Raw genomic sequence first — 26,750 nt, 5'->3', positions numbered from 1 at the left:
ATCTGGTAAAACTAAAAATCAGTTCATTTGTACTTTACCGAAAAGATGTCTAACACATTTACATATGTTATTCATATAGCAATATTTTATTAAAGCCAATTTTTCCAGATAATAATATATTTCAGTACCAAACTAAAAAAAAAAAACAGAAAATTCTAGCTAAATGACAATAACATTTCATCAAATGGGCAACATCTCATGACACACAGTAAAAACAGCAACTTTCTTTGGTTATAGCTGGAGTCCTTTTTGAAAAAAAAAAAAAGGAAAAGCCTTCTCCCAGCTCTTTCCTCCTAATTGATTTCATCATGTCATCCTTTTATTCAATAAATTTTTGATGAAAGAGCACTTGGAATATACCACAAATTGGGGTGGATAAGAATATAAGTTCCCATTATAACATTCTTAATGTTTTCCTTCTCCCTGGCAGTACTGTACTTAACACTTATATAATTCTTCACTTTTAAAACATCATGCTAATTTTTGCTTGGTTTTATTTATTAATAAACAGTCAATGATGAACCATAGGAGCTGAAAAATTATTATTGCCTAGTGACCTAGTAGCCATTGTAATGTCATAGCACAACGAATTACTCATTGCGGGGATACAGGTGTAAGCAAGCCTACTGAGCTGCCAGTTGTATAAAAGTATATCACATGCAATTTGATAATAAATGACTATATTAGTGGTTTATGCATTTACTACACCGTTTTTTTAATCATTATTTTAGAGGGTACTGCTTCTAATGATATAAAAAATAGCTGTAAACCAGCCTCATCCAGGTCCTTTAGGTGGGATTCCAGAAGAAGGCATTGTTATCATAGGAGATGACAGTTCCATCTGTGTTATTGTCCCTGAAGACCTTCCACTGGGACAAGATGTGGAGGTGGAAGACAGGGATTTGATGATACTGACCCTGTGTAGGCTGAGGCTAATGTGTTTTTTTGTTTCTTAGTTACTAATGCAAAAGTTTAAAAGTAAAAATAAAATGAAATAAAAAACTTTTAAAATAGAAAAAAAGCTTATGGAATAAGGGTATAAGGAAAGAAAATATTTTTGTACAGCTGTACAATGTATTTGTGTTTTAATTGTTATTACAAAAGAGAAAAAAGTTAAAAATTTTAAGTTTATAAACTAAAAGAGTTACAGTAAGCTAAAGTTAATTTATTATTGAAGAAAAATATTTTTGATAAATTTAATGTAACCTAAGCATACAGTGTTTATAAAGTCTGCAGAAGTGTATAATAATGTCTTAGGCCTTCACATTGACCCACCACTTGCTTAATGACTCTCTGACTCAGAGCAACTTTCAGTCCTACAAGCTTCAGTCACAGTAAGTGCAATTTAGGCAACATGTGAAACCTCATCCCTACAAAAAAATACAAAAGTTAGCCCGGCATGGTTACGCACACCTGTAGTCCCATCTACTTGGGAGGCTGAGGTGGGAGGATACATTGAGCCCAGGAGGCAGAGGCTGCAGTGAGCCGAGATCATGCCACTGCACTCCAGCCTGGGCAACAGAGCAAGACCCTGTTGCCCAGGCTGTCCCCCATCCCCCCAAAAATCTTCAATGCAGCCTTTTTACTGTACCTTTTTTATTTTTGGATATGATTATATACACAAATACTTTCCACTGTGTCACAATTGCCTACAGTATTTAGTACAGTAAACATGCCATACAGGTTTATAGCACAGGAGCAATAGACTATTCCATATAGCCTAGGTGTATAGTAGGTTGTACCATCTAGGTTTGAGCAAGTTCACTCTATGATGTTTGCACAAGAATGAAATCACCTAACAATGCATTTATCGAAATGCATTCCTGTCATTATGCAACTCATGACTGCATTTATTTGTTCATTTATTTAATTTGAATCTATAGAGCTTTGAATTCCTTATTCCAATTATTCTGTATCACCTATGTTGCCCACTTAAAAAAACCAGACAAACACAAAAGAACTGATTTAGAGTAGAAATAAAGTCCATCACATTACTATTATTACAGAACATCAAATATGGAGCTATAGGGCATGCCATGAATGAAGAGAGATTTGTGAAATGAGTTAAATATTGGCCTACAAAGTTTTACACAATTATGCTTTCCTTTTGCCTTTCTCTCTGAAACTTTCTTTTCTTAATTTTTTCTTTTTCTGAATAGACCCAATTGATTCTACATATTCTTCTCTCTCCTCTCATCACTATTGCTGCCCACACCTGACACTGACACCCTCTCTCTCTTCTAGCCACATGGAATCCCATTTACCCAACACCCTTCCTCATTTTTCACAAAATGTCCTCATCTTCTGTCTGCGTGTGTGTGTGTGTGTGTGTGTGTGTGTGTGTGTGTATGTGTGTCTGTAGAGAGAGAGAGAAAGAATGATAGAAAAGAGAATGAGAGAGAGAGAATGCAAACCATAAGAAAGAGTTAAAGAAAGGATCAGAAAAGGAGCCAAAAAAAAAAAAAAAAAAAACGGAACCCTGGGGTCTTGGTGACCAATAAGCTAATTGATAAGTAAAAGTCCATCCTAACTAGCTTCCTAGTCTGTATAAGCACTTGATACTCCTATCATCCAAATAATTTGCCTGCTTACAACAGCCACTTTCTTTTGGTTTACTTAGTTATTCTTAATTCACTGTTGTTATTTTTTCTTACCTATTCTCTTTACCTGCCAAGCCCCTTTGAAAAGCTTCTTTTCAAAATTTTCATATAAAACTATGCATTTTGGTCTGTATTATTCATTTTTTTATTAATTTGCACTTACTTTCCTTTCAGGAAAAAAATTAAGTTATTGCTACCAAGCTAACAAAATCTGGAGTTGTATGCGCTGTCCTGTTGGAAGTAGAAGAATTTATGGTGACAAAAATGGATCCTGACATTCAGCTTTTTCCTTAGTGAAGAAAAAAATGTGTCTCTGATTTTTTTCAACCACATTGTATTTTGACTGAATTCCTTGGCTTTAAGTGTACGTTAGTACAGAAATATTTCATATGTCATTTAAATGGCACGAAGACTTGGAAGCAACTTAACAGATAACACACAGACCTCAATGTCAAAGCCTCTCAAACCATATAAAATATGTTTCTTATAGAAGATGAGGATCTATTTCTTTTTTTGCTTCTTTACTTTGTTTACTTCTAATACCATTTTCAATGAAAATTATAAGTACCAGATAATAATGTAATACAATGGCTTATGTGTTCTCTTTTACAGTTGTTTTATTAACTCTGGAACTGGGTCCTTTGCTTCAATAGAGGTAAAGTTAAAACCTGAAGATGTTCTCTTGTAAGGGAAAAGGGTAGAGTGTCTGCCATTTGGCACTAATGATATTTGGGGCCAGATAACTCTTTGTTGTGAAGTGCTACTGTTTAGCAGCATTCTTGACCTCTACCGCTAGACGCCAGAAGTACTCTCCCAACTCCTAACCGTGACAATTGAAAATGTCTCCAGATATTGCCAAATGTCCCATGGGGGTAAAATCTATCCTAGTTGGAAATGACTGGACTAGAGGAATTATCATTTGAGAAGGTAAGAAATATTGGTTTTTGTACTACTTATTAAATATATTTATATGCAACATAATCATGGTTGGCTTGCACAGAGAAAAATTTTGAGGATGAAAGAGGCTGAAGTTTAGAAGTGAACATCTATTTTTATTTTTAGTATTATATGTGAATTAAACCAAATAATTTTTCTGAACAAATTGCTCTTTTTCTCTGTGAACTATCCCTGGAGTAGTTATTAAATATTGACTAATAGATGAAAATAATTCAGGAAATCTGGATTTGTTATCTTAAGAATTTACTAAAATTTATATAAAAAATTATCAGTAGAATGATACAAAGTAATATTAATGGAAGGCAGTAAATATAACTAAACTAAAGAAACTGTTGGTCTAGGAGATGACTTATTTGTGGGAAAGAAAGCAGAACATAGGTTTAAAACTTCAGAAAGCTAAGGGCCGATGCAAAAATGGATATCTAATGAAATTATTCATCTGTATATAAGTCTAGTATCTTATTTACAGATAAGAAAAAACAAATTATGTAAAAGCCTAATGATAAATCCATTGTTCTCATGAAGCATAATTTTTAAGATTATTTAAAAATTATTTGGAAAGGTTAAGTAAAATTATAATGAATTCCAAATATACTTTACTCCACAGAGTTTATATAGAGAATTGAATATATGCTCCAGAAATCATATAATTTCAAAATGTTTTTGCTTATTTCAAAATGTTTTTCCTTATTCTAATCCTGTCAATTGACATATACATATCAATATTTGAAATAATTGTTGGAGAAAAATATTTTTGTATTTCAAACAAACATTATATTTTTGGTTTGCTTTGTCTAAAAGTAAGAAAAGAAGTGATATAAATTCTTACCAGAAAAATAGATTGCAACTAATTCTTTGTGTGCTGGCCTACCTGGCAGGGTTCTCTACTCTAAAGCAACACAAAAGTGTGTAGAAACCAAACCATTCAGATCTTTGTTACTCTGGCCAATGCCTGGGGAATAGTTAAGATAGATGACATTGGAATAGTGCCCAGCATTAGTCGGAACTCTAATGGGTTGTAAAGAAAAGGACAGAAATTATGGGGGAAGTGATTTAAACCACTACACGGCAGGCGGTCTAATCAAATGAAGTCACCATTAGCTTTTATCTCACCTTCACAGTAGTGTAATTGCTGCTTTCTTGGATATGGATTAAAACGCCATTCTCGCTTCTGGTCCTAAATTTTACTTCCAGACTGTTCACACCAAAAGGCTCCAACATGGCACCTCGTAAGCTTTGCCTTAACAAATATTCCCGCTTCTCATTCTGACTCATGTGGTAGTCCAAGCGCCCTTTGCCTTCTAATGATAAGGCAGTGTCAGGAGTAACAGCTGGAAGTCAAAGGAAAAAAGGGAAAATGAATGCATTCATTTGGCATTTCTTGGAGTGTTTTCTATAGTGACAAAAATATAAAAAGGACAATGAAAATGTCGTTTTGGGAATTAATGTCCCCCAACTCTACTCTTAAAAAATAATTTCCATTTATGAATCATTATATAAGTTGATTTCACATGTTTAAATGCATTTCAGAACCATGAACTTAAAATACTCTATGACAGTCATTAACCATTTGGGAAATATTTTACTAAACTATTTGCCACATTACGTAAATTATGAATATCTAAAGACAGGCACTTGTTGGTAATATGTACTTGAAAAATTTGTTTGTAATCATTTTCACTGTGTTTCCAAAATATACGTTTGCATGGTTAAAATGATTTGTAATCTTTAGTCTCTAGTATGCTATAAATTAGGACAAAGAAGTGTTCAATCAAGTATTTACATCGGTAACTAACTTTATTTTCAGTAATCATCACATATAATTTATCATCATGTATAATCAGTATGTATATTATAGTTTATTGTAATCTGAAAAAAATCCACATTCCAGAAATATTGAAGCTTAAGTTATAGAAACAAATAATATAGCTAAAGAAAGAATATTAAGAAAATGAGCTCAAATGGATTTCAGCCCTGAAAGATACACTTTAAAAGAATACATTTTATAGTATGTGAGTTATATCATGATTTAAGAAAAAGTGTCTCTGGTATTTATCTAGCCAATGACTCATATTTCAGATATAATTAGGCTCCTTAATAAATATTTATTACATTGAAAATCACATGACAGTATATATTTTCTATGTTTTCATTATATCTAATATTATTACACACAATTACACTTTCTGCTAAGACCTTTTAGATTATATTATATCCTCAATTTTATTATGCATTTCTATTTGTTTTCATAATATAATTTAATCAAATGACTCCTTAAATGTAGTCAGATACCTGCAATGGAGTTAAGTAGTAACCACTTGTTTGAAAATGAAGAATTTTTACAAAAGAGGAACCATTAGGGTTAGTTAGTGAGATGTGCAGCTCGAAATTAGAGAGCACCATTTTCTAATGATGATATGAACATCATTAATGTCTAAATAATAACATTAGGCTTAGAAGACAATGATGAAAGGATTTTAAAAAGTAATATTCAAAATTAATTCTACTACTTGTACATTAAAATGAAAGTATCAACATTAATTTTAACATATTATGATGGCTCTGTATGATGTTTTGATCTCAGTGTTGAGTGATTTAGTGTGTATACCTTTTTATGCACAAAAATTCACCAGAAAAATATCCCCCAAAGGCAGATAATATGAAAAAAAGCCTAACTATAACCTTTGATCTTTTAGATTGCCTAGAATTCTAAGAAATAAAACAAACAAAAATAAGTGAATAAAATACCTTTAAAGTGGAAGCTAGAGATTTAGTTAGTAAACGATTTTTTAAAAGGATATCATTCTTCTTCAGGTTACAAAAATAATTTTTAAAATGTCACTGTATTTTACCAATTATTGTCCATTTAATATTTTAATATTTAGAATGAAAGCATAATTTTTAATTTGATTACATACTTGGGTGCATATATTTTACTTTTCATAGTTATTAAAATTTCCAGGGGAAGACGGAAGACCTTACATACATTTTTCACAGTATTTCCCAGTGAGTCCCTCTTTGCAATGACACTGCTGCCATGACCAGTAATCCATACATGTGCCACCATGTTGGCATGGGCTGCGAGTACAAGCGCCTTCCAGCCTAGGGCATCTAAAATAAATCATAATGAGAACAATAACGCACATAAAAGATGAGGAGAAGTTTGCTAAAACTCAATATACACTTTTATTAGCTTGTTTAATTTCAAGCACTCCATTATTTGAAGCTCAAGTTACAACTACATTTGGAGAAACTAATCAAACCAGAAGTTTTCCTAGAAAACATAGTCTGCCTCACACTAAAGAAGATTCAAAAAAAATTATGTCTTATATAATAATGAGAAAGCTGTGACAATTTCTTCTTTAAATTAATTCTTACTTGAATAAAATACCTTGGTCAAATAAACACTTTGGTTAATACATATGATCCAGGGACCACATATTTTTTGACACATGTCTATCAGGATACTCATGCAACTAATGTTTATTGAATGCCTACCATATGCTAAGCACTGTTCTAAGCATGGAAGTAAAGTAATGAAAAAATAACCGTGTACTGAGGAAGTACTTATTTTTTCTTGTGGAAGAGGCAGAAAATAAAGAAAAAAATAGCTATAGAGAAAATCAAGGTGAGAAAGGGTATAGTGAGTTTGCGGGTTTGCTGAATCTTTAGATTAGGCAGTGAATTAATCTTAATCTTTGTTAAGACCTAAATAAAATAAGGGAATGAAGTATATCTGGTAGAATATCTTTTCAGCTAGAGGAAACAGCCAGTGAGAAAGCCTTGAAGTGAAAGCGTACTGCCATGTTTGAGAAACACCGAGGCCCAACATGGTTGGAGCTCAGGGCACAAGAAGAAGAATAGTTAGATATGTTCAGGAAGTGAAGGGAGATGGCAGATCATAAAAATGTTTTCATTCAGGGTCAGGATTTTGGCTTTGAAGCTGGGTGAGATGGGAAGCTATTGAAGCACTTTGAGCCAAGAAGTGAAAAGTTAACTGACTTATGTTTTAAAAACCATTCTAGGCTGGGTGCAGTGGCTCTCCTCTATAATCCCAGCACTTTGGGAGGCTGAGGTGGTGGATCATGAGGTCAGGAGTTCAAGACCAGCCTGGTCAACATGGTGAAACCCCGTCTCTACTAAAAATACAAAAATTAGCTGTGCGTGGTGGCAGGCACCTGTAATCCCAGCTACTCCGGAGGCTGAGGCAGATAATTGCTTGAACCCAGGAGGTGGAGGTTGCAGGGGGCCGAGATCCCGCCATTGCACTCCAGCCTGGGCGACAGAACAAGACTCTGTCTCAAAAAGCAAACAAACAAACAAACAGAAACATCATTCTGGACATAAGGTCTAACAGAAACAGAGGAGTTAAAGGTAAGTCTAAAAGTTTTGTTTCAGTAGGTTTTGACCTAAAAAGATGTTCACAAAATATCTCTAAATGAAAAAAAAAATTGATATTTAAAAAAGTACTTGTGTGAACACGGAGATATAAAAGGATGCACACCGAAGTATTAACAATGGTGGCAATCCCAATCCTTTGTTTTTCTGTACTGTTTGATTAATAATAATAACGAACTAGTGTGACTTTGTAACAAAACAGTAACAACATGTAGGAAAAGAAAGGCAAATAGAAAATGTTATTAAAATACTTAAGTTACAAACATTAGAAAGTATTCCTAGCTTTGCCTTTAATAGTTTTATTTCTGGTAATCTCATCCAAAAAATAATGTGAGCAAAGATTTTTGTGAAAATGTGTTCATCACAGGGTAATTGGTATATTAATAAAATTGGAAATAACTAAAGTGTATAGCAACAGTTAAAATATAGCACATTCACATCTTGGGATACTAAGCAGTCAAAACATGACAATAACCTAAGAGTAGTTGTCTCTGGGTGGTTAGATTATAGGTTAATTTTGTTTTCTTCCTTGTATTTTTTCAGAATTTTTCAAACTTCGATAATGAACAAAAGGAATTTTAAAATAAAATATGTAATTTCTAACATCCCTAAGTTATTGCTAGAAACCTAATTAATAATCAAATAAAAAAGCCTTACAGTTCATAATTAATCAAGTTATTGCCTGTTTTTAAAGCTGTATCAAGTTTTTAGGAATATGTATGTCTATAAGTAAAACTATTTAATGTGAAATAAAGTTCTATGTGTCCATGATGGCTAACATCTACATATCTCTCTGTGCTGGAACCCTTTTTTATATAATTTACCAACTTAACTAATTTAATCTTCACAACTCTCTGTAAGAGGATAAAACATATACATGCCCACATGCATATATATATATATATATATGTATAAGAATCTAGAAACATATTAATTTTCTAATTAAATATCATACTTTATGCCAAAATTTCAAAGGTATAGTATTTAAAATTCAAAACAATGTAAATCATTTGGTATTTTTAGAGATTTGAGCATAATAATTTCATCTTTTGATGCTCACTGAAGCATACTTTTTTGCATTTTTTTTCTTTAAAACAGTAAGAAATAAAATCGCCATACTGATCTAGGATGCCTTGTGCTGCCAAAGCTTGGCTGGGTTCCAGAGGCCTTCCATTGACTGCAAACTCCATTATACACCCAACAAAATCATGGCTTTCCACGTGTCCTCTTCTCTGAAGGATTGGTTCTAGAGATCTGATACCTCCAACTGTAACTCTATTTGGCTGAACATCAAGAGTCCTAAATAAATAATGGAAGATATAAATATTAGTGTCAAAAGATTACATTTTTAGTATAATGTTTAGTTCGAAAAAGAGTGAATATAGCTTTTTTTTGACATTTATTATAGTGTGATAAATTTCAATGGAAAATATGTAGAAGAGTGTCCAATACACACACAGAGTTGTTAGACTTCCGAATTATGAAAAATAATAATATTTATGGAAATTATGTTTTCAATTAGTCAAGTTAGATGTATATTATCACAATACTGAGTCAACAAGAAGGAGCATACTCTCAGAGGGAAAATAAAATGCTGTAGAATTAGTGACAACTCTAATATTTACGTTAGATTACACTGCTCCTTCCCTGAAGAGATGATAAAGAATATCAGTAAGTTGATCAATGCAAGGGATGCCAATAAGTTGATTGAGGCAATGAATGATGCATCATGATGCGTGACTACTTATTTTTCTCTGTTTATCATTTTTCCTATTAAAATCACTTATTTTCTGGTAGATTACTGCTGTGCTCAGCTTTAAGTGCTATGGAAAAATATCTGTTAATAATTTTCACGTAAACTTTTAGAAACGCATTTGAAAGAACTGAGGTCTTTATCCTACATGTTTTTCAGAATGAAGGTCATATGCAATTATTTCATGAATCTTTCCAAAGACTACTGGCTATATTTAATTTCCTTTTCTCCAATTTTATCCTTATTTCTACCACTTCATTTCACACATTTTAACACATTTTGCACAGTAATTATTGACTATTTTATATTATGAAAATTTGGAGAGGGAAATAAAATATCTTAAGCTTTATGTACTACTTAGCATCCTATAATTATTTTTAGGTATAAAGTTTATTTTAAAAAATTTTAAGTAATAATAAAAATTAAACTAATCCTATTCCTTACCAGTCATCTGAAACTGCCACATTACTGACAGTACAATATCCTGGCTCTTGGTTCTCAGAACAGGAGTCCACAGTTAAGGAGGCTGCCTACGAAGCAAGAGAAAGAAACATTCAACTTTGAGTTCTACCGTCCCTATTAGCCTTTCCAGCCAACACTACCCATGACTTGCTTCTATGTGAACATGACTTAGAAACTATGATAACATCTTGATTTAATGTATAAATCACATAATTATAATATTGAATCATGGGCACATGTTTCTTTGATATCTCAAACTAAAATTATGACTATCTATACCTATGAGAGGTAAAAGGGTACCTTTAAAAATCCTCTCCTGCTCCCCTGTTTTATAGGTGAAAAAAGATAAAAATGCCGTTAATCTTTTTTAGAATAATACACAATAGGTCTGAAACATCTTCCTGTAGATTACAATCTTAAGAAACGTGTTTATTGTACTGTCAAGCTATGTTAACAAAAGACACTTAATTTTTGATTTTCAAAAGTCTTATTCTAATATGATTTCAGCCACATTTACAAAAAGATTAGGAAAATACAATATAAATACTATATAGCAATCTATGAAAATTTAAATATTTGGATTAAAATTTGAAATTTGTTAAATCAAGTAAGTGCTCCTCTCATTTTTGTTAAGAATAATTATTTATAAATAACATTACAGCATATTTCTGTATAATCAGGATGTATTACTGTAGATCACTTTACAGTAAAAAATCCCCAATAGTATTTAAATAATGACTAAGTAGTATTTTTGCATTCTAAGGGATGCGTATTCCCTTGAGACAAAAGCCTTCTGTTTAGTAGAACATATGAATACTCCTTTTGATTGATAAACAAAGTCATAAATTTATGGTTAAAAGGCCTCAGAACATGATAACCATACAAGTCAGAGTCCTGTATAATGAGTACCAGCAAGTGAGGATGGCTGCAGTGCAGTCTAAGACCAAAGTTGTATATCTATATTATTGTGTAATCTCCAATGCTATTGTGATACACCTCCTTTGTTCCCCAAACTTCATTAAAATTTGACAAATGACAAACTTTGCACACTTTACTTGCTGAAATTGTAAGAAGGATGGAGTGTAGTGCCAGTATATCACAGGAATAGCAATAATTCATTATCCAAATGGACAAGAGGTTGAAAGGTTTCTCCCAATGCAGACAATAAAGCGTTATTCTAAATTTACGAATGCCACAGACAGGGTTAATCCAAATTTGTTACATATGTAGCAGAGAAATATAAATACAATGCAACTATTCATTTATCAGGATGCTTATCATTTCAGTTTAATAAGAGCAAAGCAAATGTAGAAAACAGTGCAGGAAGTTAAGCAAGTTGACTAATAACATGCCAAACTTAAATGCAAAGTTTTGGATATCAAATTTTCTGTATTAAAAAATCAGGCCACTTTCATTAGGAATGAAAATGATTAATTTCCTTAATATCCTACTTTTATCAATATTGCTTATGATTTTTAGGCAGTATCCATAAAACATATATTTAAATGGGAGACTTGTAAAAATTTATCTGAAGTATCTCACATTTTAAAAACAAAGACTGAGGTGAATGTATAATCCATTTATTAATTGTTTATCAAATATTACTGGCTAACATATTCTTAAATGTTTCTAAGTTAATTATTATAAGCTCTATACAGTAAACTCTTGTGAGCCACATGGAATTTTTTTTGCCATTTTTTTCAAGTAAATTATAATAAATACTAACATTTGTAGGAAAAATTTATACTTCCAATTCTCTGGCAAGTCATTCATGCCCCATTTAGTTTACTCTTTTGATAGTTATGATTATTTTCAGTTATCTGTAAAATGCGGTGACATCCAATCTCAAAAGCAGTATTAGGTTTTTATAATTCAACTTCTGCTGCTTAGGTGACTACTTGATTGAACACATCTCTCCACATATATTATGCAAGTATCCTTGTAGAGATCCCTAAAAGTATCATAAACTAGAAAGTACCACATGGATATTTATAAATGCCTCAATTAGAAAAATAACCTTGGATAACATAATTATATTTTAGTCATTGTTAATATTTCGTATACATCTAAAAGCTTGCTGATACAACTCAAAGAAAGAATAATGGAGGAGATGTTTTATTTTAATAGTAAGCTTATGCAATTTAATCTTCAGAGTTAAATTCTCTTTTACTGTTGAATTTTTATAGCTTTACCACCATAAATTAAAATGTTTTATCCCAACTATGCAATGACTTAAAGCTTAGAGGTTAATGATTTTGCCAGTTTCCAACCAAAATTATTTTGAAATGTAGAAAATGACAAATTCAGAATCCAGTAGGGGCCTTATTTTGGATGTTTTCTGAAACAGGAAGACATTTTTCCTATGACTCAAGTAATAATGACAGAGTTTTTTTCACATTTGGTATTATTAAAAATTGATGACTATGGTCACAATAATACAAATGAAACTGCATCCTTCTCCACTCACCTCTTGATCCCATGTCCTTGTCTGATAGAATCAAATGCTCATGAAGTTTAAAGAGACCTTGGAGGTCATCAGGTAAAATCGTTTATTTTACATTATAGTATACTTGACAACATATCAGAAATATGGTTATCTTACATATGTGTGGAGAATGGGGGTGAGGTGATGTCTACTATTACTCATCAGTTTTAGGATATTATTATGGCTAATGTGAGCCCAATCTATATATATCAATCTCTAAATGTTTTTCTAATTCTTTAAGGCCCAATATTTCTGGTTACATCAATCATCAGGAATACTAGAATTGATTAAATCTATATTCTTCCAGAGAATGCTGGATTTTTAAAATCTCAAGCAAAAATCAGTGCAGTAACCTATACTAATCAGAAAATATATTTTATCCAAGATTTGTTTGTTATACCTCTACTAATGTTCATTAAAGTCAGGTGGATTTTTAGGCACTACTCATAATGTAAACTTCATTGAGACCAAGATCAAGTAAAATATTCCATTATTTTACTTCAAAAGGTTATATGTGGGTTGTGTTGGTGATAATTCAGGGTGACCAACACCTGTTTAAGCACCTAATTCACAGAAATAAAATTTTAATTATGATTAATATTAACCTTTACAATAATATGGAAATGTGGGCATATTAGAATTAAAATATAAAATATAACATTATGTCTTGACAACATTTTTGGAATGTTGGGGGTAATTTTATTAAGTAAACACTATATAAATTAAATATATTAGAAAAATGTTCCAGCTGGAAAATATTAACACTAAGTTCAAAAGGAAATGGAAAACCATCTATAACTAAAATGATTGATAAAAACCATACAATACTTCTGTTGTTTTCTCACCAATATTTCAAGTAACATACATTTAATAACCTGGTAGGACCCTGAATGCAGTTTGATGGATGTGGCGATATCCGTGAATGACATGTCTGAGCAGCTACCCTTGACCATGTTGACACAATCAATTGGTTATATTTAAAGCTAATCATTATTCTTTTTCCCCCTCATAATTAAAAATAGTTCTGTATTTTAAAACTTGCTTAAATTTCCTTTAATGTTGTAGTAAATTAGAGTGGAGGAGAGAAATGTCATTGTATCTGATGCCAATTCAAAATAAACATGGATTTATAAAATATTCCTGAGATCAAATGACAAATTTTGTTCTTTCATAATAGATTGTCTGTTATGTGTACTGGTCAAAAATAATTAATATTATAAGGTAGTTTCTGTCTTATGCCCTTATGAAATTGGTAATTATAGATTGCATAAATTTTAGCCTTTAAAATTAACTACGTGTCATAGGGAAAAAAACTAGCAAAAGCTTGGTTAAAAACATTTTAAATATTACTTCTGAATATTGCTGATATGCATTCAGCAATATAACATATTCCATACATTTAGTGGCAAAAATTTCTCTATAGTCACACAAATGTATGATTCATATGATCAGTCTAAGGACTATATAAGTTGTCATATATTTTAAAGATTGCCATGAAGTCAGAAATACAATTATAATCATTTACATACCAAGTTTTTTCATTTAAAATGATTTAAGGGCACTTATTTTGTTGTTTTGGCTAGGCTTTCTTTTTAACAGACAATTTAACATTTTACACAATTCCTTTATCTAGGGTGAATTATAAATCTTACCAGTAACTACCCTTTTTTTTTTTTTTTTTGAGACAGAGTCTTGCTCTGTCACCCAGGCTGGCGTGCAGTGGCGAGATCTCGGCTCACTGCAAGCTCCGCCTCCCAGGTTCACGCCATTCTCCTGCCTATCCCCAGCAGCTGGGACTACAGGCGCACACCGCTATGCCGGGCTAATTTTTTTTTTTTTTTTTTTTTTTTTTTTTTTTGTATTTTTAGTAGAGACAGGGTTTCACTGTGTTAGCCAGGATGGTCTCGATCTCCTGACCTCGTGATCCGCCCGCCTCGGCCTCCCAAAGTGCTGGGATTACAGGCGTGAGCCACCCCGCCTGGCCACCAGTAACTACACTTTTAAAGGCTCAAAGTTAAAGTGCAAAAATACTTTAAGACAGATTTGTTAGCATTTTCTTATTAAAAATCCTTGATAGCTGTTAGAGATGGGGGAAATATGGAGAGATAGTTGTGAAGATAAATAAAGAATAAAAAATAAATAAGCCATTCCATTCTATTATACTATGTCAAATATTTTCAAACATTAATAAAGAAAAGATGTGATGCATTTTCCTTTATAAAGAAAAGTATTTATTTAATAAACACAAGTCCTAAATAGATATGTCATTCTTGTAACATGAAAGCCACATAATAAAATCAATATAATCTATAAATACATGCATGCCTCATTTTATTGCTCTTCACTTTATTGCACTTTGCAGATATTTTATTTTTTACCAATTGAAGGTTTCTGGTAATCCTGCATCCAGCAAGTCTATCAGCACCATTTTTCCAACAGCATGTGCTTACTTTGTGACTGTGAGTCACATTTGAATAATTCTCACAATATTTCAAATATTTCATTATTATTTTATGTGGTATGGTGATCTGTGATGAGTGAAGTGTCCTTGGATGTTACTATTATAATTATTTTGTGGCAACATGAACCGTGCCATATACGATGGCAAGCTTAATTGATAAATGTTATTTATGTTCTGGCTGTTCCAGCAATTATCTGTCTCTGGTCTCTCTACCTATCCTCAGGCTTCCTTGTACCTTGAGATAAAACACTACTGAAATTATGCCAACGAATAACCCTACAATGGCCTCTAAGTGCTCAAGTGAAAGGAAGAGTTGCATTTCTCTCACTTTATATGAAAATGTAAAAATGAATAAGCTTAGTGACGAAGGCATTTCGAAAGTCAAGATAGGCCAAATAGGCTTCTTGTGCCAAATAGTTAGCCGAGCTGTAAATGCAAAGTAAAAGTTCTTGAAGGAAATTAAAGGTGCTACTCCAGTGAATATACAAATGATAAGAAAGCAAGACAGCCTTATTGCTGATATGGAGAAAGTTTTAGCAGTCTGGATAGAAGATCAAACCTGTTACAACATTCCCTTAAGCCAACATCTAATCTAGAAAAAGGCACTAACTCTCTTCCATTGCATGAAGGCTGAGAGAGGTGAGGAAAGTACAGAAGAAAAGTTGGAATGTAGCAGAGGTTGGCTCATGAGGTTTAAGGAAAGAAGTCATCTCTGTAAGGTAGTAGGACAAAGCAAAGCAGTGAATGGTGATATAGAAGCTGCAGCAAGTTATCCAGAAGATCTAGCTAAGGTCATTGATGAAGGTGGTTACACTAAAGAACAGACTTTCAATGTAAAAAAACAGCCTTTTATTAGAAGATGTCATCTAGGATTTTCATAGCTAGAGAAAAGAAGTGAATGCCTGGGTTAAAAGCTTCAAAGGATAGGCTGACTCTCTCATCAGGGGTGAATATAGCTGGTGTCTTGAAATTGAAACCAGTGCTCCTTTTCCATATTAAAAATCCTAGGGTCTTTAAGAATTATGCTAAATCTACTGCATCTGTGCTCTATCAGTAAACAGAAATGCCTGGATGACAGTGCATCTGTTTACAGCATGGTTTATTGAATATTTTTTAGCCTACTGTTAAGATCTACTACTCGGAAAAAAAGATTCCTTTCAAAATATTACTGCTCACTGACAATGCACCTGGTCACCCAAAAGCTCTGACAATGATGTATAAGGAGATTAGTGTTGTTTTCATGCTTGCTAACACAGCATCCAGACTACAGCCTATGGATCAAAGAGTCACTTGGACTTTCAAGTCCTATTATTTAAAAAATACATTTCATAAGGCTATAGCTGCCACAGATGATGATTCCTCTGATAGGTCTGGGCAAAGTAAATTAAAAACCTTCTGGAAAGGAGTCACCATTCTAGATGCCATGAAGAACATTCATGATTAATGGAAGGAGGTCAAAATATCAAATATTAAAAGGAGTTCGGAGGAAGTTGATTTTTGACTCTCATGGATGAGCTTGAGGGCTTCCAGACTTCAATGGAGGAAGTAATTGCCAATGTGGTAGACACAGTGGGAGAACTAGAATTTGAAGTGAAGCCCGAAGATGTGATTGAGCTGCTACAATCTTGCAAAACAAACATGAAAGGATGAGAAGCTGCTTCTTAGGGATAAACAAAGGAAGCGGTTTATTAAGATACAACTTACTCCAGGTGAAGATGCTGTGAACATTGTTGAAATGACAACAGAGGATTTAGAATATTCCATAGGCTTAATTAATAAATTAGCATCAAGGTTTGAGAGAGGCTTGACTTCAAGTTTGAAACAATTTCATCTGTGGGTAAAATGGTATCAATCAAATAGCCTCAAATGCTACAGAGAAATCTTTCATGAAAAAGGAGTTAATCAATGTGACAACGTTTCCTGTTGTTTTATTTTAAGACATTTCCATAGCCCCCACCACGAATCTTCAGCCACTACTACCTGGCTCAGTCAGGAGCCACCAATATCAAGGCAAGACCCTCCACCAGCAAAAAGACTATGACTAGCTAAGACTATTGTTACCATTTTTTAACAATAAAGTGTTTTTGATTAAGTTATTTTATGTAGATTTTGTAGAAAAGTCTCCTCTGTTCCTAAATTGTTTCTTCAGTCAAGGCAGAAATACTTAGTCAAGGCAGAAATACTTAGGAAAGAAAGGTAGTTATTTTAAGTATAGTCCTGACATGGCCTTAAAAACATACAAAAAATATCAATGAAATTATTTCACGCACTAGGCTATATTCTCAATTGTTCTCCTTTTTATTGTTTTTGAACAGAGTTGTCATGAGCAAAAGAAAAATATTATGTCTAAGTTTTTCATAACTAAAGTGTTCATTTAATGAATAAACCTAATTTAACATGATTTGCACCCCAATTCATACTTTATTTGAAGATCCAGTTGGATATACAACAACAATAAAATGAAATATCTTACCATTCCTGCTCTCCTGGCAATCACAGTGTGAAAATGTCCATCTGACACCTTCTTCATGGTGGTGAGCTTATATGTACCACTGCCTAAATTATAAGAGAATCTTAGTCTTTCTTCGGCAATTTCAAGGGCCAAAAACTCAGCCCGGTCGCCTGTCTGGTTGTCATAGTTGTAAAGCAATAAGGCATGACTTTTAATCGTGGCAAATTTGACATAAATATAGTTGTTATTGGGGTCCAAGCTTGGAAATTCCATGTATGATAACTCCTCAAATCCATAACTGTTCAACTCGCAGTGTTTTCCAAAGACACCTGTTGGAGGGAAAATTGACAAACTGGCATAAAATTTCATGAAAATTTTATTATATATTTTGATTAAAATATTTTTGAATTATAAAATGAGATATCTTTTAACAACTTTTTTTACTTTCCAAAAAATTTCATCTAAACTAAAATTAAAATAGTTAATGATCTTTATGAATGAATGATCTTTAAAACATGGCAGAAATGATTAACTGATGTAATTATTTTTCATTGTCTAATTAGGGAACATATCTAAGTATGTTTTGTTTCTCAAAATGAAAGGCTTAGTGGAATGGAGTATGTCTGAAGAGATTTCTTTCCCAGAAACGTTTCAAAATTCATTGATTTTTTTTTTATTTTTTTTATTTTGGGACAGAGTTTTGCTCTTGTTGCCTAGACTAGAGTGCCTGCTCACTGCAACCTCTGCCTACTGGGTTCAAGCGATTCTCTTGTCTCAGCTTCCCGAGAAGCTGGGATTATAGGTGCCGGGAACCATGCCTGGCTAATTTTGTATTTTTAATAGAGACGAGATTTCACCTTGTTGGTCAGGCTGGTCTTGAACTCCTGACCTCAGGTGATCCGCCTGCCTCAGCCTCCCAAAGTGTTGGGATTACAGGCATGAGCTACCGCAAGCGGCCCAAATTTGTTGATCTTTTAAAAGTTGTATTATGCTACAATTTTCAGCCAACATACTTCCTTCATAATATATAGTTCTTAAAAACTATTTCAACTCAATTGAAGATGGCAAATGCATTTGTTTTGATTTTTTTAAAATCAGTACCTATATTCATGTTATTTTCAAGGGCCACAAAATCTGACAAGTGGAATCATTGGTTTAGGAAAGGAAATAACTGTCTTTTAAGTTTTTATCTCTTTCTTGTTTTATACCCTCTGTGGGTATGATTTATAGCAGGCTACTTTAAAATAGCTGTCTGTTTTTCTGAAAGTCAGCATTCCCATTTGTTTGTGCTGGTTCTTTTTCAAACTTGAAAAATGAGTTTTATTGATGTTACAATGTTATGCCAAAATTCTTTTCCCACAAATATTAGTAGACTGTGGCAAATGATTGGAAAATTAACCCATGCCAATACCTCATGATTCTTATTAACTTGCAAAAGTTTCATTTCTTAATTTTGGCTTTATATGTCCCATAAATGCATAAAATTTAGAGTGAGAGAATTGTTCAGCTAGAAGGAACCAATGCCATTATTTTATAGAGTATTTAAAACTTGCCTAAGGTCACAGAACCAAGAGAAACAGCCAAAATTTGAGGCCAGATCTACTGATTGTCTAGCTATTTTGACTACCACATGTTATATCAGAACATTTTTAAAATTAAAACAGCCTAGAAGTTGCTATAAAAGTTTGTGTTATTTATCTTTTCCTTTTCTGTCCAGACTGAAATAATATTTATTATAAATGAGTAGAAATTAAACATCATTTTGGCCAGGCATGGTGGCTCACGCCTGTAATCCCAGCACTTTGGGAGGCCGAGGTGGGCGGATCACGAGGTCAGGAGATCAAGACCATCCTGGCTAACACGGTGAAACCCCGTTTCTACTAAAAATACAAAAAAAAATTAGCCGGGCATGGTGGCAGGCACCTGCAGTCACAGCTACTCGGGAGGCTGAGGCAGGAGAATGGCGTGAACCTGGGAGGCTGAGCTTGCAGTGAGCCTAGAACATGCCACTGCACTCCAGCCTGGGCGACAGAGCGAGACTCCGTCTCAAAAAAAAAAAAAAAGAAATTATACATAATTTTTAATTTTTAATCTTTAACCAAAGTTGAAGAAAAGGCAAAGGAATTATAGAAATGATATTTATTGATATATATGTTATGTCATATATATGATATATAGAGATAATATTTTATACATAGTATAATCTTATACATTATATACTTATATCTATCCTGTAGAATTTGTATTTGTATTTTATACATTTCTGTGGCATCTATATTTAATATTTATAATTTGTATGTATTAATAATTTGTATATAAATATGCTATCTATGCAGAAAGAGTAAGTGAAGTTAAAGTAAAAGGAAAAATAAAGCATATAAATGAAATAAAAATACTACTGAAAAAATTTGTATTATGTGTTCACTTAGGTCTCTTCTGAATAAACTTCAATAAATCTATAACAATGTGCTGAATATTTGAGTGTAAATATATGGAGAAAGTATATAGATACTTACATTTTAATTCAAATTGATACTGTATTTTCAAACATGAAAATATTTCTTTATGGAATTTAAAATATTTATTCTTAAAAGGTTTTGGTACTGTTTTCACAGAAAGGTCGCATCTTAATTCTAAGAAGTTATAATTATACATGTCGCCTTTATAATGTCTGAAGCACTATGTTTTTCCTAAGATGTAATTTAAATTAAAAAATCTAAGTATCGAAAAAATTTTTTGAAATCCAAATAGCCAATCTTTTATTGATGAGAAGCTAAACAGTGCAAAAAACTTTTTTCTAACTTCAAAATGATAAAGTTTTGTTTTAAAGGATGCAAGTGTAACTACCTACCTCTGGCTATTTATTTGAGGCATGCCATCTGACATGGTTATTTGTACCTTTCATCCACATTCCATTTGAGAACAAAAATCATTTTTGTTTCTGCTTCTATCTCTTTAGTTTCAAATTACATAGCAGTGTTTCAGTGATTTTTGTTTTCTTTTGTAAGTGCTTATGTTGTCAACTGACAATATCTAAGTTTAGATAATGTTTTTTGTCTTTGCCCCTGGAAGGAATAGGGGGAGAAATTTGCACTGCCGGCTATGTGTGATTTGTGTCTATTTTAATTTACATTGTGCTATTCCTCTTCCCCTGGCGATGTCTACAGAGTGACAAGAAGGTACATTTGGCCCCTCAAGTAGTTCCACTTAATAGGCAACGACAGTTGTACCACTACACTGCAGCAGCAACTTGTTTTTATTGTGTATCAATTTTCTTAAATCCCCAAATTTGCAACTCAAAATCCTCAAAACTTAAATCCTTAAAATTTGCAAAGGGATCCCTAAAAATATGAACATCTCTGTTCAGTCACTTGAAAATCATTTCTAGTTTACACTCTAATCCCCTTATCTTTTATCTCAAAATGTTAAGTTAAACCATGAAATTTGACTGTGGTTATCTGTAGAAAGCAGCACCACTTAAAATGATGAGACACCATTGAAAGAAAGAAAAAGTTTTTGGACATCTCAAGTTGTGGTTATTTTGACCTTGATATACCTTTCATTACTTCACAGGCATTGTTAGAATTTCAAAGAAATTGTATAAAAAGGGGTTCTGTGAATGTCATACTGGACTGAAAATAAAAAATTGTGTTCTAGTTGCTACATCGTCTTGGGGTAGTTTTGCCTCAACTTCATTTTTTGACTTTGGGCAAATCAGCCAATTTCTGGGCCTCAAAACCATTGGTAAAATACATTCCTCAAAATTAGATATTTTTCTATTTTGTTTGTCTTTATCATTCTATGGATGTGCTTAATAAAAACAGATAGTCATGAAGTTGTTTGGAAATTAAAAATACCTAGTAAATTATACAGGTTATTAGGAACTGCGTATGTCTTTTAAATTCTATTATCTACTATAGATTGAGCTTTACTGTTCAGGTCCATATAGCACAGTTATATGCCCAAAGGAAGACTAGAAAAATATCCTTGCTCTTTCTTGCTTAAGAAAAGAGACATAGATGAAGCTGGAAACCATCATTCTCAGCAAACTATCGCAAGGACAAAAAACCAAACACCGCATGTTCTCACTCATAGGTGGGAATTGAACAATGAGAACACTTGGACACAGGAAGGGGATCTTCACACACCGTGACCTGTCATGGGGTGGGGAAGGGGGGAGGGATAGCATTAGGAGAAATACCTAATGTAAATGACGAGTTGATGGGTGCAGCAAACCAACATGGCACATGTATACATATGTAACAAACCTGCACGTTGTGCACATTACCCTAGAACTTAAAGTATAATAAAAAAATAAATAAATAGATATACAAAGGGGACAAAAAAAAAAAGAAAAGAGACAGAGTCATTTGGAGATGGATTCTATGCTGTGGTGTAAAGCAGCCTTTAAAAAGAATGGAATAATCACAAACTTATGAAACAAGCCAAGCTAATACAAATGCTTCCTCTGAATCTCATGGTTTTTGGCTGGCACAGTAATGGGTAACAGCTGGATAAGACCTGGAAGGAATCTTTTAGTTCATTCCACTAGGGTGAATAAATATGTATGTATACAAAAAAGTTCTTTTTAACAATTTTTCTTATCCAAAAGACAGATTAGTCTGAAATTTTATTAGTCAGGTAGTATCAGCTACAAAAAGCCTATTATGAAAACGTCAGGTATAGTTACTAAGTCCTTCTAATAAAAGTGGCTGAATTAACATAAAAAACAAAATTAAAAACTAATGTAAAAAACAAAAATAAAAAATAAAGCAAAATTCACAAAAGTGAAACAAACAAAAAACCTTACTTTGACTACTCTTAAAGATTTGAAATAGAGAGTGACGTGAAAGAGTGCTTACAGAATTTTTTTATTTCATAACTTCTCAGCTGAAAAGAAGATATCCATAAATCTTTGGGGGGAAATATCCTATGGAAACAATATTAATTCAATTATCTTGAGTTGACTCTTTTTCTAGTAATGACCAATGCAATGTATTCAATGGGATTTCCATAACTTTTACAAATGTTAAACATTTAAGATTTTATTTTAATAAAACCTTCCATGTAAAACAATAATTTTTTGGTCTTTCATACTCATAATAAAACAAAATTGCTAAACTGTGTGCAAAAATAAACTTATATTTTATATCAACAAATAAGTTTTACTCACCAAATGGACAATGACAATAATAAGAATCCACACCACTTTGGCAGGAACCACCATTAAAGCAGGGGTTGCATTCACAGTAATTGACTGAAGATTCACACATTTTCCCTAAAATATATCAAATTCAGTTTTTTTTAAATCTCATACATAAATATATTAACACCGTTACACCATTACCATACGTAAAAATCTTTCCTAAGGCATATCACGGAGAAAAGAAATATAAAAACGTTTTACTTGACATAAGGAAATTAGAATAATATCTTAGAATTTAAAATCTTGTTTAGTTGTCCTATTGTAAAATGTGCATTATAATACTTAGGAAATAATTTACATAATCATCTTGGAAGAAAATACTGTTTGCAGAGAAATGACATGATAAACATATTTAAATGCTTTCACTGAATTTATTTTCTGTGTCAATGTCCCTTCATCTTTTATATTTTATAGATAGAAAGTTGAAACTTACAGTATTCTTTTCACTGCAGAGATTTTCTTGACTTAGGTATTTCAAAGATAATAACTTATCTTATTTATCAAACTACACTCTTTCTACTACTAAGAAATATCACTTGAATTACACATATCTGTTGTAAAGCAGAATAAGAAATAAGAAAACACATCATATTTTCAAATGCTTATGAAAATTTATTCTTGACTACAGATTATGTATACTTTGTCTTTTGTCTGAAGCGATAATACCTAAACAGCATATTTTTCAGTTTATAAAGACTTTTCTCATACATGATCTTGTTAAATTGAATCAACTAATATTGAGTGAGTGCTTATTATGGGCCAGACATGATAATGGAGGGGGATATGGCAGTGAAGAAAGCAAACAAGTGTCTTCAGACTGTGTTTCCATTTCAGTAGGGAGTATTAATCCATACAAAGGAAATATTTACATTTCAAAAGTGAAGAATAAAAGCCTCTTGGAGGCTAATATATTGTCTGTGAAACTGTAAAACTATGACACAGACCAATTTAGGGCTTCTGCTCCCATATCCAGGTTTCACAAAACTATGGTAGTTGATCACGTGGTGTATAAAACTTGGAGTATAAGTCCCACTTGTTTTTGTTGTTGTTACTTATTTTTACCTAAACTTAAACATGTTCTAATACCACTGTTCTATAACTTTAAAGTATTGCAATCATTTGATACATTCGTTAGGATCTAATTTTCAAATTTCATAATGCAGTGAGATGTTACAGAATTCTTAGTTAATTTCTTTTCATTGAGAGTAGGATTGTAAATACTACATCATTTGTTTCTGGAAGTTACTTTCTACTTCCCAGCCCAATTTCACTAATGCATTTATTAGATAGCTCAGGAAATGATATGCATTCTATATGCACAACGAGACCTACTGCTGAGCATAGATACTTCATTTCATCATACTAACTTTGCTTAAAACACAGTCAAAATTTTGTTTAAATTGGTTCTGTTTTTGTGGCTTGATTACGGAGCCACACTTATTCTGGTCTGAAATTATAAGTGTGAGTCAGATCTCATGATGCTAACTAAGCCCATTTCTGTACATCACAGAATCATAAACACAACATTTTTTCCCTTATAAATAAATTGGGAACCTCCTTATAAGGCAAAACATTGAGCTAACAATTTCAGAATACCTTTGTATTGTTAAGGCAAGGGCATGAAAATAAACAAGTTACAAATTTATGGGCACAGAAATCAGGTTTTAAGTATTGTAGCAGTGTACTACATTGGAGAAATAGGCAGGAAAACTTCAAATAGTGCTTGATTTCTCACCAGAGAGTTGCGGTTTCACAGAACTCTTTCCTGTTTTGTTTTTCAACTGATTATGTGAAGGCCATTTTAGTGATGTAGATTTTTTTTTCTTACAGCACAGTATTTCCCAGTTGCAAATACATAAGGTCTACTGGCCATATTTTTGATTAGTTGTCATCAATAAAGTAATATTCTACTCTTTCCATTTGGTTTTCACTGTAAAAGCACACATAATTTTCACTTGTGCTTTTTGACTAGGTACAGTTTTACTTTCTTTCATTCCTTTCTTTATCCAAAAAATTATTTTAGAGTTGTGTTAAAAGTAACATGTATAAAATACATAGACTTATATATGTATTTATAAGTGTGTTCAATATAGCCTTGTTATCATGAAAACATGTTAGTGGGTTACAAAATTGCCACCTTCACTTCTTAACGACTGGAAATGAGGAACAAATAAGAAGTAACAAATGTAGAGGGTACTGCTATGTATACTTACTCAAATAATTGGACATATGTGCTCTCTGACAAAAATATATGAGTATAAATCCCAAGTCATTGTTCCTATAAAGCTACTATATGTTTTTTGAATTTCATTTACAAATACTACCTTTATAAATCTTGAGTTAAATAGCAACAAATGAAATTTACGTGTTGTTCTTTTTGTGTATAATTATATGAATCAATTCTTATTTAACCCTGTATAAAATATTTTAACATAGACATCTGAGTTTAATTTAAATATAAAATACAGGCTATTGCAGTTACTCCAGAGTGAGGAGTGGAAATATATCCTAACACAAATAAGACTTATTCATTTATTAAAACATACAGTGATTACAAAGTGGCAGAAGATGTTACAAACCAATAAAATACTAATTTTGAGAACGAATTTCCTATAAAACTTAAATTCTCAATAGAATCTGATTCTTCAAGTATACACAAATAGAAATAGAAATTGTTAAGAAAAAACAAATTCAACCTTGCATTCAGTATTTCAGTTTAAAAATAAGGTTGTTCCTTTTTACTTTGTCTTAGTGGATAATTACAAATAATTAATAATGGCTATTCCTCAAGAGCTAAAAGCAGAACTACTGTTTGACCCAACAATCCCATTACTGGGTATATACCCAGAGGAATATAAATCATTTTACCATACAGACACATACAAATGAATGTGCAATGCAGCACTATTCACAATAGCAAAGACATGGAATTAACCTAAATGCTGATAAATGACAGATTGGATAAAGAAAATGTGGTACATACACATCATGGAATACTATGCAGTCATAAAAAAGAACAAGATTATGTCTTTTGTGGGAACATGGATGGAGCTGGAGGCTATTATCCTCAGCAAACTAACATAGGAACAGAAAACCAAATACCACCTGTTCTCACTTATAAGTGGGAGCTAAATGATGAGAACACATGGACACAGAGAAGGAAACAACAGACACTGGGGTCTACTGGAGGGTGGAGGGTGGGAGGAGGGAGGGGAGCAGGAAAGATCACTATTTGGTATTGGGCTTAATTCCTAGTTGATGAAATAATCTGTATAACGAACCCTGTGACATGAGTTTACCTATGTACCAAACCTTCACATGTACCCAGAACCTAAAATATAAGTTAAAAAAATAGATAAAATGGCTTTGTTTGGGGTTAAATAAAGGAATTTGTTGTTGAGTTTGGAAAAAATAGTCTTATCTGTTGGTGGTAGAGTATGTAAATTATTTACTATTTAAAAATTGAGTTCTCCATTTAAAGAGTAAAAATTTTTTACAATTCATGAACTCAGAGGTTGCCATAGCAGATACTTGAATTCAAAGACATAGTAGGAAAACAGATTTAAATTTAAATTATTATTTAAAACACCTGTGTCTTTTGTGTGAGAAAAGGATTCCATAATTTTACTTAGAATCAAAAGAAAGCTTCTAAATGCATATTTCTCAGGTTTGGAAAGTTTATGCTTTTTTACCCAATTAGAAATTAACAAAATTCTGAATTGTTTTGTGCAAGTCTATCTACTTAAATTGTAGTGTTAATAGCATAATGAGTATCAGAGAATGCAGTAGTTTGAATTACTCTAACATGCTCTTGGTACAATAATCTGATGTGTTGAAGCACTGTGAAACAAAATCTTGGATCATTAACTTAATTAATGCTACAAGTCAATTAACAATACTTGCCAAACGCCTTCAGGCTTGGAAGTATGCTGATAGGACTTGCACAAAGACAGGCATTTATTCCTCTTGAACTCAA

At 32.4% G+C, this 26,750-nt stretch overlaps 1 protein-coding gene across 6 annotated transcripts in view; it reads right to left on the bottom strand.

Moving 5' to 3' along the window:
* The window catches only part of FAT4 (FAT atypical cadherin 4), a 177,978-nt gene that overhangs the window by 6,524 nt on the left and 144,704 nt on the right, over nucleotides 1-26,750 (bottom strand). For all 6 annotated transcript variants that reach the window (NM_001438396.1, NM_001438397.1, NM_001291303.3 and 3 more), the window contains 6 exons: nucleotides 22,742-22,846; nucleotides 17,590-17,897; nucleotides 10,153-10,238; nucleotides 9,075-9,254; nucleotides 6,544-6,668; nucleotides 4,671-4,888 (listed from right to left, as the gene is read on the bottom strand). In NM_001438396.1, coding sequence (NP_001425325.1) covers nucleotides 4,671-4,888; nucleotides 6,544-6,668; nucleotides 9,075-9,254; nucleotides 10,153-10,238; nucleotides 17,590-17,897; nucleotides 22,742-22,846 — 1,022 coding nt within the window. The remainder of the gene's footprint in view (nucleotides 1-4,670; nucleotides 4,889-6,543; nucleotides 6,669-9,074; nucleotides 9,255-10,152; nucleotides 10,239-17,589; nucleotides 17,898-22,741; nucleotides 22,847-26,750) is intronic.

Source organism: Homo sapiens, chromosome 4 (genome assembly GCF_000001405.40).
Source record: "Homo sapiens chromosome 4, GRCh38.p14 Primary Assembly".
In the NCBI taxonomy this organism is placed as follows: domain Eukaryota; kingdom Metazoa; phylum Chordata; class Mammalia; order Primates; family Hominidae; genus Homo; species Homo sapiens.
The sequence above is the reverse complement of the archived record's forward strand: the minus strand, read 5'-3'. Positions and strand labels throughout refer to the sequence as shown.